This window comes from Homo sapiens, chromosome 3, assembly GCF_000001405.40.
Source record: "Homo sapiens chromosome 3, GRCh38.p14 Primary Assembly".
NCBI classification, from domain to species: domain Eukaryota; kingdom Metazoa; phylum Chordata; class Mammalia; order Primates; family Hominidae; genus Homo; species Homo sapiens.
Genome location: NC_000003.12, coordinates 193,851,872 through 193,866,397, shown reverse-complemented (window position 1 = coordinate 193,866,397; position 14,526 = coordinate 193,851,872).

Genomic DNA, 14,526 nt, shown 5'->3' with positions numbered 1-14,526 from the left:
CTGCCAAGAGGAGAAGAGAGTTGACACGCAGAAAGAGTTAGGGGTGACAAGAACCCCCGTAGCCCCTTGAAGGACACAGAGAGGAGATCTTTTTTGTTCTTTTGTGATTCATCCTTTCTCACTTCCTGTCCTTGGAGGTCAACAACAGACCCCTGTATCCTTTTAATAATCCCTCTTTTCATTTGAAATTGTTCCAGAGGGTACCTGATCCTTGTTGCCAGCATGCCCTGAATAAGAAAAATGCTCAAACCAAACACTGAGTCTACTGAGTCTATGTGAATTAATTCTTGGAATTCCTTGGCTCAATTCAATAAACATTTCATGCACAATTTTTGTGTGCCAGGTGCTAGAGGCATTCTGAGAAAAACTGAGACCCAGGAGCTGTCCTCAGAGAGTCCAGTAAGATGTGGTCTGATAAGACATGTTTCCATATACCCAGAATACAAGGTAGTTTGCTAGGAGCACTGCAAGAGAAACGCAGATGGAAGGCTGGAGTGTGTACTGCCACTGTGGAAGCAGGAGGGGCTTGAGGGAAGAGGGCCTTCAAGAATGGGTGGAATCTAATATTGGAAAGGGGAGGAAGAGTGGAAAGTATAAGAATCAGAAGTCTGGTTGCAGGATGGGGCATGATATGGGTGGGACACTGTAAACTGCACAGCGTGGAAGGAATATGGAGTTTAGAGGAATAATGTTAGATGAGTCTGTAAGACGGGCTTGACTGGGATTATGAAGGGCCTTAAAGGTCAAGCCAAATTTGTTATCATAGAATCATAAGAAGGAGAAGAGCCTTAGCTGTTGTCTAGTCTAACTTAGGTAATTTGGTTCCAGTTCCTCTTAAGGTGGCCACCATGACAGACTGAATCTCAAGTACTCATCTGAGATACAGTCATTTCAATGGTAGTGACTCAGAATTTACTTTTCTTTTTTTTTACCCCAGCAAAATATTTATTTTAGAAAATAGGATTATATTATTTGTTGCTCTCCAACTTGCTTTTTTTGGACATCTTGGACATCTTTCTCTACCAGTACATATAGTTCCATTTCCTTCTTTTTATTTTATTTACTTTATTATTTTTGTAGAGATGAGGTCTTGCCATGTTGCCTAGGCTGGTCTGGAACTCCTGGGCTCAAGAGATCCACTCACCTTGGCCTCCCAAAGTGCTAGGATTACAGGCGTGAGCCACTGCAGATATTTTTATTTTTTATTTTCATTTATTTCAATAGTTTTTGGGGAGCACGTGGTTATTTGATTACATGGATAAGTTCTTTAGTGGTGATTACCGAGATTTTGGTGCACCCATCACCCAAGCAGTGTACACTGTACCCAATGAGTAGTCTTTTATCCCTCGTCCTCCTTCCCCGCTCCCCTCACGTCCCCAAAGTACATTGTATCTTATGCCTTTGCATCCTCATGAGATTACTTTTCTATCTTTAACAACTTAAGAGTTCTTTCCAGAAGAGTCCTCTTACTACGAGGAAGAGTGTTAGAGCACAGGGAACTGGGCCTAGAGAGTCTGCAGCAAATTGTCTCAAATAGCAGCTTAAAAAGGTAAGGAACAGAAAAGAAACACTCTCTATCTATGTGCTGGCCTCAGGCACAGTGCTTCTAGATGGTAGAACATCTGTGAAGTAGAAATTACAATCACTTTTCAGGTGAGAAAACAGGAGCTGTAGGGAGGAGTCGGACAGGTCCCCAGGCCCAGCAACTATACCAGGTGAGGCAGGAATGTGGCCTCGTGTTGACCAGATTCCACAGCCACGGGCTTCCATCCCTCTTCTCTGCTTGCTTTAAGACTAACCACCCTGGCTTCAAGTAAGTATCACTCACAAAGGAATTTCAAAAAGACATGCACATAAATTAATGGCTGATGGCTGTAGGTGGTCGTATGGGAGGAACCGATTATAACATTGTATGAACTTAGCAAAGCTCTAAACCATAGCACAGACATTTGGCAAAATGGTTACTCTTTTTCAATCATCCAAGGACTCAGTTTATAATAAGCCTTGAGCGAGTCCCTAAATTCCAAAGCCCTTAGCATCTTCCAGGACCCTCTTGAGACCACACAGTGCTTCCAGCTTCCGGAAACAGCAGATGCTATTGCTTCCATGAGCAATGTCAGCATTTAATACACAAGGGGGAACAGAGAAAGAAACCTATATGGATGGGGAGCAGGGAGGAGGGGCAGCACTGGATCCTCTCCTGGGCCCTGTCCAGCTCGACATTCCTGAACAGAGCGTGCTGTTCCCTCTCCTGATGTTGGCAGCTTAGAATGCAGGAGCCTTAGATGGGTGGCCTGGAAGGGAGGCCAGCAGGGAGAGGTGACCTGGAAGTGAGGAAGCTCAGGAGGGACTGATGGTAATTGGAGGGGCAGGCAGAGAGAGGCAGATGAAGAAACAGCCGAGGCCTGTGTGAAGGCTGGACCCAACCTGCGTCCAAGCAGAAAGTCCAGAGAACTTAGCACAGCTTCCAAAGCTTCAGAGTACATCAGAACTACTTGGGAAGTGCGTCAAACTCTGGTTCCTAGGGAAATCCTCAGAGATCCTGCATCTGCGATGAGGCCCAGAAGTGGTTTTTGTGACCAGTTCCAAGGCGACTTCATACAGGCAGTCCTTGGGGACACTGGTGACAGGATTTCCCTCTCTGGACCTTGGTGTCCTGCTCTGTAAATAAAGGGGTTTGTCAAAGACGGTTTCTGCTTTCTCTGTCAGCTCCAACATACAGCTTCTCAAAAGCTTCCAAAAATCCCCTTACCCAAGCTTGCAGCCCTCATCACCTGTCTCAAGATAATGGTTTCCTATTCTTTTTAATGTATAAGGCAGACAGGTGGTCATGTACCTGCTCAGCTCTTGAAAAGGACCTACATGATAGACTCTAGCAACTCCACCTCGTCTGCCCATTTTGGGGGAGAGTAAAGCCACGTCGTGTGCGTTCACATAGGCATCCAAATGGGACAGACTTCCTCTCTCTGGAGGCCGTGGCTCCAGGTCAAAACAAAACCACTTCCAGGTCTCAGGTCACAGGATCCTGCAGAATGATTTATTTAAGGAAGAAAGCTTCAAGGGCTCCAGAGAAATTAAATGTGTATATTTCCCCAGCAATTATGCACGTCCTTTCCCTTGAAAAATAGTTCCCATGCCCTGCCTGGAAGAAAAGCCAGATTCTCCATGATGCTGTGTTCCACAGGCTTCTAGAGGTGGGGGGGCTGTGATTTTCTAACAGGAGAAGCCACATGAAAGTCTTCAGCAGCTTTGCGCTGTTTCTGCTGCAGCACCTCTCAGGGCAGACTGGAGAATCAGGGAGTCTTGTCTGGAAAAACGAGACAGGCTGGGCCTGACACATTGATTTCTGGTTCAAGTTTCCCAGTGAAATGTGAAGGAGGAATTTTCCACTTCTTGTCCTGATTCACCTTGGCGAACCAGTCTTTGGAGTCCCAGACTGAGGCAGGGAAAATCTGTTTCAGGTGGATTTTCCAGCCAGACTTATACCCAAAGTGAGTGGTCCTCTATGCTGTTCCCAGTATCAGCTGTCTCCCGTTGGCCAGGAAACAACTCTGTCCCCCTGACTTCTGCTTTAGCCATCTTTCTCCAGGAGGAACCAGGCCAGAATGTTAGGACAAAAGAATATCATAGTGACATGTAAATCCTCACCCTTGGACAGAAACTTAACTGGGTGATACAGATTCATTTAATATGAACTGAATAGCTCATGCTGTTTTATGACAGACTTTGGGATCAAAATGTAGCTAAGACACAGCCCTTACCCTCAAGAGTTTAGACTAGTGGGAGGGCAGTTGGGCAAATATCAGCCTGAGCAGACTCGTATAAAAGCGACAAGAGATACAGCAAGATTGAGGAGAGAGGTTTAGGCTGGATGGCTTCAGAGAATGCTCCCCAGAAAAGGTGGTATTTGCACTGGTCTTGAAGGATAAATAGAATTAGAGAGAGGAAGGAGAGGACAGGAGGAACGGCCAGCAGAGGAACTTCTAACTGTAGTTAGAACGTCCTTGGTACATGAGGGTATGGTACATAGTCTGGGATTGTTAGCAGGTAGATATGCAAAGAGGTGAGTAGGAGATGAAACTTGAAGAAAAGGCAAAGGCCAGGCCATGAAGCGCTTTGGTCGTGGTGAGGGTCAGGACTAGACCAGGCAGACAGTAGGGAACCATCAAAGGATTTATGGCTGGGGAGAGAGGAGTTGGATATAGAGAGAACGTGCAATAAACCAGGTGAGGGATGGAGTTGGCCAATGTTAAGCCGGGGAAATGAAAATAAAGGACAGAATCGAGAGACATCTTGGAAGAGAAAAAAATGATATTTTTGACCATGGGGAGAAGGAGAATTTAAACATTTTCCCCAACATGTGCTGATATCTAATTTAGACAATAGTGGGGGAGGTAGGATGGTTGGGTGGTTACTCATGCAGGCTCCAGAGCCAGAGGGCCTCTGTTTGTTTCCTAGATGGTGACAGTAGTTCCTTAACTACCCTGTGCCTCCATTTTCTCCTCCATAAAGGGGAATGAACAAATTGCAGGGTGAAACTGTTAGCTATCACTGTATTCAGAGGACTAGCATTTTTTGGTATCAGTTATTCCAGAGGTTCTCAAGGGTCTGGGACTTGGAATTGAAACAGGGTACACTGTGAAGAGGGGGCCCCTGGTGCATCACTTTACTCGGGAGAACAGGGTTCATGCTGCCCATTTAGACTCTCTATCAGGCAACATATTCTGATAAGTGATAAAATCTTCTTTGAAAAAAAAATGCCTCTTTTGAAAGTGAAGATGTCTAAAAAGATGTTTCTTGGACAGCATATAGAAATTTCACGGGGGAAATCACTGCCCGCGTGGCACTTGAGAATTTAAGATTTCTTGAAAGAACTTTGCAAAGTATCCTTTGCACTCTCACTGTGAACTTATAAGTGCTGTGATCTGTGGTGGTTTCAAAAATTATTATTATTTTCAAATACAGAATACATACAGAAATGTTTATAAAACATAAATTACAGCAAAACAAACTGTTATAAAACAAACACCTGCACAGCCACCACCCAGGACAAGTAACAAGGCATTGGCAGCATTTCACTCCCCTTCCTGTCATAGCCCTTCCCACCAAAAATAACTTTTATCTTGACTTTTATGGCAACCACCTCTCTACTGTTCTCTCCTCCCACCAGCTAAGTATGCACTGCTGGTCTCTAAACAACACAGTGTGATTCTGATTGTCTTTGATCTCCATATGATGTTTTACCATGCAAAACATCATCATAAATTCCTGAATGGTGTTACAGAAGCAGACGCATACTGGTTGGGCTGCTGGTGCCAAGAGGTGGAAGTGGAAGGAGATAAAATGGCATTTCAGAAAAGTCCTTAAGATGGAAAGGGAGGCGGAGATGGAGATGGAATCGTATGCATGTACTCTTTTGGGTCTGGCTTCCCTCTCTCAAAATTAGGGGCCACACCATCCCTGCTTGTGTGAGACTGCCGTTGGCATATTTTCACCACCACAACGTAAGAACACACCACCATTTACTTATCCATTTGACTTTCAAAGGGCATCTGTGTTGTTCCTAGTTTGGGACTATTTTGAATGGTGCTGCTGGGAACATTCCTATCCATGCTGCACACATTTCTGTTAGGATTTTCCCGGAAGTGGAATAACTAGGTTATAAGAGGTTGGCATATCTCCATCCTTAGCAGAAACCATTAAGCAGTCTTCCACGATGGTTATGCCAGTCCCTACTCCCACCAGTAGGGCCCTAAAATTCCTACCTTTCTCTATACTCACCAAAACCTGGTATCACTGAACTTTTTGTTATGGTTTATCACTAAAGGAGGCTTGAGGGGCATCCTAGACATATAATCAGATGTTGGTGTGCTATTGGATCCATTTCAGATCTGAAGTGCTATAATATTTGTAAATAAGTACAATGAATTGCTTTTTCAGAGGAAGGCCCATAATGAAGCTTTACCATGCAAAACATCATCATAAATTCCTGAATGGTGTTACAGAAGCAGACGCATACTGGTTGGGCTGCTGGTGCCAAGAGGTGGAAGTGGAAGGAGATAAAATGGCATTTCAGGAAAGTCCTTAAGATGGAAAGGGAGGCAGAGATGGAGAGAATGAAGGATGCTTTGAATGAGGGTAGAAACCCTAAGGGAACAGCTCTGAAAAAGAGTTTAAGATTTTGCAGCCATGTACTAGTATGGGTCTGTTGGTTTTTTAAATGTACATGAATACTATGATTTCTATTGTTCTTATTCACTTGCAATTTGCCCTTTCCTCTCAAAATATGGATCTACTTTATTAATTATTATATGGTATTTATTTGCATTTGAACATCACATTTATTTATTCATTTATATTGGTGGCTATTGGCAAACAATGCTCAAACAAACGTATCTTTGTTTTCATATTTTTTTCTTTTTCGAAAACAAAATTAAGTGGAAGCAAATATAGGAATTTTGAATGTTGACTATAAGAATGTCTGCTATAGGCCAGGCGAGGTGGCTAACGCCTGTAATCCCAGCACTTTGGGAGGCTGAGGCGGGTGGATCACGAGCTCAGGAGATCGAGATCAAGGCGAAACCCTGTCTCTAATAAAAATACAAAAAATTAGCTGGGCGCAGTGGTGGGTGCCTGTAGTCCCAGCTACTCAGGAGGCTGAGGCAGGAGAATGGCGCGAACCCGGGAGGCAGAGCTTGCAGTGAGCCGAGATCGCGCCACTGCCCTCCAGCCTGGGCGACAGAGTGAGACTCCATCTCAAAAAAAAAAAAAAAAAAAGAAAAAGAAAAGAATGTCTGCTATATTACTTTCTGGACTTTTCTGTATATTTGAAATATTTCATAACTTAAATGTGTTTTAAAATTTAATAAACCAAATAGGACACAAAGAAAGGAGAGCACTTGAGTGGGCAGGTCCCAGTGTCTCACTGGCTGGGTTGACCAAGAAGTGCATGGAAACAACCTATGCACTGATGACTCAGCCTAGGGGTGGGGCCGGATGCAGGTTGGCGAGCACCTTATGCTCCCCACAAACAATGCGGGGCTGTTCTGCAGTCAGATGGACATGGGTGGGATCTGATTCCTGTTCCCACAGATTAAATACAAGACCCTGGGCAAACTGCCTCAGTTCTCAGCTTCTGTATCTATAAAACTAGGGGATTAAATCTACCAGGCAGAGTTGTTATAAAAATTTAATGTAATCATGTACATAATATGCAGTTGTACCAATTTGGGTTTGATGAGGAAAGCAGAACCACTATGAGTGATGTAGAATAAAGGATTCGTGATAGGCACGTGGCCATCACAGTTGTGATGGAAGCCGGGGGAGTGAAGACCTGGATGGGAACAGTTGAAGACTCAGAGAAAAGTCACCCACCAGGCCCCACAAAGGGAGGCAGGTAAAGAAGTCTGCGTAAGGCTTTGCATTTGATAGTGGCCTGAAGTTCCTGTAGGTCTGCAGGAAAGGCAGCAGAAAGAAAAGTGGAAACAAAAGAGCACTGGACAGGCCGGAACTCACAGGGACAAGACTCAATTCATGATGATCAGCTCAGGTCACATGGTAACTTGGTGGCATGGTGAAGCATTCAATCTTTTTATTTTTTTTTTATTATTTAAAGACAGAGTTTCACTCTTGTTGCCCAGGCTGGAGTGCAATGGCATGACTTTGGCTCACTGCAACCTCTGCCTCCCGGGTTCAAGTGATTCTCCTGCCTCAGCCTCCTGAGTAGCTGGGATTACAGGCGCCTGTCATCACGTCTGGCTAATTTTTTTTGTATTTTTAGTAGAGATGGGTTTTCACCATGTTGGCCAGGCTGGTCTTGAACTCCTGATCTCAGGCGATCCATCTGCCTCAGCCTCCCAAAGTGCTGGGATTACAGGTGTGAGCCACCGTGCCTGACCAAGGCATTCAATCTCTTATCAGACCCAGTAGCAAGTCAGGAGCTTTTCTTAAAGGGATAATAATTATCTGCAAAGCATGGCATAGTTTTGTCCAAACCCTAAAGGTCTGTGTTGAGACTTACCCCTCGAGGGACCTGTGCACAGTTCTATACAGCTTCCTTATCTGCCACAGATCCTTTTAGCAAAATTAGATGTGCTGAATCATTTAGGTGGCAGTGGAGCTTGCCTAGTAGGCTGAATCTGTTGCAAAGTCTTCTCATTTTCTGGACTGCACTCAAAACTGGCAGCCTTTCAGGTTACTCAATAAATGAGTTGAAGTAGCATGAGCAAATGAAGTTGCTTCCAGAGGTTCACTAGGCATTCTGCCATTTACTTAGTGGTAAGAAAGGCCAGATGCTGCAACTTCTCCTTCATGTTGGACAGAATATATCAACATCCTCTGACCACTGGACTCATAGACATTTCACCAAAATGGCCGGCCCTCGAATTTTTGTGGGATTCATTTTCCCCTGTCTGCTTGCATTATTCTTACCAAAGTATCCAGATTATTTGCTATTTCCTGCCCACCAGGACCAATTATCATACTATCATCAGTGGCATAGGCCTATGTGATACTCTGTGGGATGGAGAGGCTATCAGGATCCCTGGGATTAGATTTTGACAGTAGACTGGGAGTTAATACAGACCTGACGTAGAACAGTGAAGGTGTAATGCTGTCCCTGAAAGCAAACTATTTCTGGTGGGTCTTTATCAAGGTATAGGGGGTGGCAACAAAGCACTGGTCAGATTAAGAGCTATTAGAGGTTGTACTAGTTTCTTCAGAAAAAAAATAATAACACCTGGGAAAGCAGCTGCAATTACAGTCACCATTCAATCAAGTTTATGATAAGCCACTGTTATTCTCCAAGATCTACGTGTCTTGGCATGGGCCAAATAAGCAATTTGAATGGGATTCACCATCCTTATCTTTCAAGCCTTGATATACCATCCTTATATCTTTCAAGCCTTGATGGTGGCACCAATTTCTGCAATACCCCCAGGAAGATGATATTTCTTTAGTTTATGCTTTTGTAGGTAGAGGAGATTCTACTGGCTTTCACTTGGTTTTTCTCACCATACCCCATGGAGAAGGAAACCTGTATGGCACTTCTGCTAGTCGTTTGGTATATCTGTTCCTAAGATGACCAATTCTGGAACTTGGAAAATAACTACAAGACACTCAGGGACACACCAAGTCCGCTGTGAGATGGACCCAAGTCAAAACCTACACTGATCACCTGATCTCCATAAACCCCTATTCTAACTGTGGGCCATTCTGGCATTTTCAGTCTCTTGAAATTAGTGTCAGCTTAGAGCCAACACCTAGTAATTGCTAAAAGGCATAGTAATTTTCTCTTTCCAAATACATATCCATACTGATAGATGTCCTCAACTTCCTTTGGGAAATGCTGGAAAAAAGATTTACTGTATAAGTTTTGGGCCAAGTAGTAGATTCCTTCCTGAAGGGATCCACTCCCCTTTCATTTGAATAAGAACTGGCTGAAGTCTCAGAATTAATTAGGGATGTCATGATTCTCTATTGTGATCATCACCTCTTTCACCAGACCCAGACCTTTTCAACTTACGTAAATCAAGTAAGACTTGAGTAGGCCACACATCTATTTCAGTTTCAGGGACACCATGATCAACCTTCTGCAGATCAAACCATTCCAGTTAATGTTTTGGCTCTGCTGTTCATTACAGTAACTACCTCATGTCTGGTGATTGAGTGTCTTCCAGTTGGCTTCTGATACCTGGGCATCCCATCATCCCCGTGAATTTGTGGAGTGCACTTAAGTGGCAGCAGTTTCCGTGTCATTCCTGGTTATAGTTACTACGTACCATAGGCTCTTTACAGATACTGGGGCTTCTCTTTTGGTCTGTGTACCATATCTCAATACCTTCATGAAGGGAGTGTCTTCTGGCCCCTCCTGGGGACATAATTAGAAAGTGATAGGCAAGCAGGCCTCACATAATAAATCTACCCCAGCATTTTGGTCCCCCTAAGCATTTGGGTACCTTTCTCCATATCAAGAAAGTTCTAGTATTTCAATTGCCCTAGGTATAAGCCACCATTTTGTCTAGGTTTTAGTCAATGAACCAAACTGTTAGAATCACTCTAAGTTACTCAATGTAATACACTGAATCCAGAATCTCTTTCCAGTGTACCTGTATTGAAATCTTTGGCCTGGTCCAGCATTATCTTCCTCTTTCCCTGATTCAACATCATTAAGATCCATTTCTAAACATGTTTCTCAGGTTTCTGTGACTATGAATGGAAAAAGCTTATAATTCTTTTGATGTATATGACAGTTTCACATGGATCACACTTTAAACTTTAACCCCTGGAGCCTGCTGAAACTTGAGTCTAGTTATAGGTCTAGAAGCAATGAGAAGAATTGAGAGTAGGTAGGTCTTAAGGAGAATCAGTAGTTTCTTGCAAGGCACCTCTGGTCATTTGTTCTGGTCCAGGCTCGGTGAAAGGCCATTGCAGTTTCTTTAGGCAAGGTGAGCTCATTAGCTAGGAAGGGAGTGCTTCTACTACTGGCAAAAAAGGCTCAGCAAAATTCAAGTTCTAGCTCCCAGCTTCATCTGAATCTGCCCATATGTCTACCCCAATGCTCAGAACCACACTTCTTCCTAATCAATGTGCTAATTTTACCATAAGATACTCTGTGAGGTTGTGATTTCAGTTTGCATAATTCTTCCCAAAATTAGACCTTGGGTTTGATTTTCAGAAATATTTGCCCTATAGCCACAGGAACTAAAGATTTCCCTTAGTTAGTCTTTGTATTGGGAACTTAGTCATAATTTTTTTTTTCTCCAAGTTCTTCAGTAACCTAGAAGCTACCTATCAACATCTGTATCTTCCTTATTTTTGCTGAAATATTGTACAGAAGCAACTACTTGGTTATCCAAAGCCCTGCCTTCTATAGGCACTTAATTACAGGTATTTATAGGTGATAATGTAATTAACTCTTTTGTTACCACCAGGTCCCCTTTACTACTGGCATCAGAGTCATTAACGCTTTTAAATATAATCAGATCAGAGAGCCAACTCCAGAACCAATTCAGAGAACTCATCCTTTAGGTTTTCTTGCTCATGGTTTCATCAGGGAGGCAGAGTCACTCTTAGTGATATGAAATAATTTCCCATAGCAATTAGACTTCTCACAATAGTGGGAGAAGGATGCAGGAAGATAAGCTGGACCTGATACAGGAGAGATCAAGGGCAACCTGGAACCTTTCCCTGTCTTTCACCACAACTAACCCTATAGAAGAGGTATGTGCCCTTTACCATAGGGGTGCACACACACCTGAGCCAAAACTCAGCAGGAGCTGAGGGGAGCTGCAGAACTGGCCGCTGCTCCATGCTAAGGAGGTAAGCAAGTAGGTAAATGCTGGTGTCTGTTTGTGTTCATGAGCTGTGATGGCACCTGTAGCCCTGCACCAACCTTCAAGTGTTGTGATGGTTGGTCTGCTTTCCAAATCTCATGCCAATTTCTCTTATGGCCAACCATAACGAGGGCCATAGAAAGAAGGAAAAATCTGGGAAATGTCCTTTGGGCTTAGGTAGGCTGACTCAGTACGGAACCACCAGAGCCGTCACTGTTTGGTACTCTTACGTAAGGAACTCAAGATTTAACCTAAGAACCAGTACCTAGAGGGAGAGGGTAAGAGAGAGGGATGGATAGGATCCATGTAAAAATTGGGTTATGAATTCGCTTAAATTAAGACTGTATGTGAGATTGTACCCAAAAGATCAGGATCAAGAAAGCCAGAGGGGAGAGCCGGCTTTGCTCCAGAACATTTCTGTATTTGACAGTGATGATAGTAACCCACCATGGCATCACAGAGCTTTGTGGTTTGCAAAGTGCTCTCACATGCATCATTTCATTTGGAGTGGATTGACCTTCTGCTTCATTCACTAAATACTTATTGAGTATTTGTCCTATGCCAGGAACTGTGCTAGGCATTTTGCATATCCTGTCTCCAAATATATTAATATCTCCTTTATATTTCACTATATCTCTGTGACAGAGATATCACTGTCATTTTACAGATTTTAAAAGTATGGCTATAATGTTGGAGATACAAGACCCTAATGGGAATATAAGATAAATAGAACTTTGTCCTTGCTCTCAAGAACAGGGGTTGGTAAACTTTTTCTATAAAAGGACAAGTGACAAGTAGTTTAGGCTTTGTGGTTCCTATTACAACTACCCAACTCTGAAGCTGTAGAGAATGCAGTCATAGCCAATATAAAAATGAATGTGCATGGCTGTGTTCCAATAAAACTTTATTTACAAAAACAGGCAGTGGGATAGATTTTGCCCATGGGTAATAGTTTACCAACCCCTGAACTACAAGGGCATAGGCTAAAGGAGAGACTACTAATTAAAACAACTCATGATGAGACTATGTGGTAAAGGAGTCTATACGAAGGGCTGTGAAGGCAGAGGGTGTAGCTGGCTGGGGAATTTAGTGAGGCAGGGCAGCATTTCTAGAATCATGACCTCTGTGGTCCATATTTCCAGGTCACTGCCATCCATGAACCAGGAAATGGCTTGCAGACAAATGCAGGGTGGGATCTGGAGCTTATATCTTATCAGAACCTGTGTCTCCTTCCTGAGCTGTCTTCCTGTGAACTGGGCCTGTGGTGTGGGGGTTGAGGTTCACTGTCTGCTTTCCCCTCGTGTATCAGCCAGCCCTTATACTTCCTAAAACTCAGCGTCCCTTATCCTTATCCACAGCACAGAAGCTGTGGGCTTGGCCTGACACAGCCCTAGAATGATACTTCCTTGTATGCCAGCCTCAACTTCTTCTGACCTGCAGCTTGCAAACAACACATTCCTAGTATGTGGTTATTAGCCTACTCCTCCTAGAATGCCCTCTAGATCTGGTTCCTGCCTGAGGTATAAAATCATGCTTGTGGTTGAACTTACAGGTGGACTTTACAAGAAGGCTCAGGACAGGGAAGAACACTATAAAACAACAAAAACTGCCTCCAACTGGAAAGCAGTGTGTAGGGAGGGTTTGAGCAGTGACTAGATGACCATAGGAAGGAGAAGTTCTAATATTTAAAAAGTCCTTGGGCTTAGGAGTCTTTCTGTCCCACAGTCCTATTTAGCTTTGTGATAGCGGACAAATTTCTTGAGCTCTCTTGACTTAGTTTCATGATTTGAAAACAGAGAGTTCACATCTCTCATAGGGCTGTTGTGATAATTAAATGAGAATTCCATCCAGTTTCCAGCAGGCACTATCCTGGCACACAGTTGACTCAAGACAGTATTAGAGAAAGACTCTGACATCAGATGGGGTGGGGTGGCCAAGTTGGGCGAAATAACTGAGGTCTGTGGTTTACTTTGATATATAAATCTAACAAGAATTCCTTTCTTTAACTTACATAAAATTCTTTCATTAAATCTCAGAAACAAAGGGATGTAACCTAAGGAGATCTCTTTGTGAGCACCCTAAGATTGGACATAAATGAAGAAATATTTATTAACACAAAAGAATTTCATTTGGAGGAAAAAAAACCATTGTAGGAATTTTTTCTGCATAACAGTTTTCATGCATACAAGTCATTTGGGATTCTAACCAAGTGTTTCCATTTCAAACTGAATAAAGTTTTACTTTGTAAATGTCTATATTAACAAAGCTTTCATTGAGGTTCGGAGAGGGGGCACTTAAAAATGTTTGCCAACCCCCCCATTAAAAAGTATATATTACTCAATGAAGTGGTATAGAAATAGATATCTATTTCTTTAAGTCCTACACAAAATAAAAGCATCTAACTTTGTGGGCAGAGGGAGGTCCAACTTTTTGTTTTCTTAACGCAGATGGAAAGAATCCCAAGAGACCAGTGAAGCAAGAAATTATCAAAGCTGCGGTATTTACGAAGTCACTTTGTGCCAGTGCCCCAGCAAGCTGCCACCATGGCTGCCAAGCCCTGTCACCCTTGCTGATCAGTACAGAGAGGGGCTCGCTGCGCTGGGTAGAGGAAGCAGGAAGTTTGCTGAACTCAGACGGAAGAAAAAGGATTCCTCTGGAGAATCCCAGCAGGTGGGAGAGCCGCTCTGCAGAGCGAGGCTCTTTTGACCCAGAGTACACACAATAGAGCCCTCTTAGGAGAGAGATTTTTTTCCACAGGTTTCTTCTTGGCCCTCTGGATTTGTTCTAAGCTGGCTTTCTGTGTGTGTGAGTTGTCTTGGCCTTTCTGGTTTTCTTTCCCTTTGGAACTTTCAGATCTTTCCATTGTGCACGATGTCCCTGTGAAAAGGCCTGAGTCACTCGGCCTCAAACTTTGCAGCCCCAAACATTCCCTCTTTGAATTAAGGTCACCTGTGTATGTCTCCCCACTCGGTAGAGGAAAGGGCACTTCATCGCCCTGGCCCTGGGCCCAAGGACCCCCTTGGGAGCATTGTCGAGGGACTTTTTCAGATGAGAGGCTTTCTGTAAAAGACTGACAGGGACTTCTTAGGACAGATGACCTTTAAATATATTTTCCAATTCTGATTCTGGGATTCTAAAATGGTGTGTGGACCCCATACAATGTCATTTGAGCAGGAGCAGACAGAACTGGAGA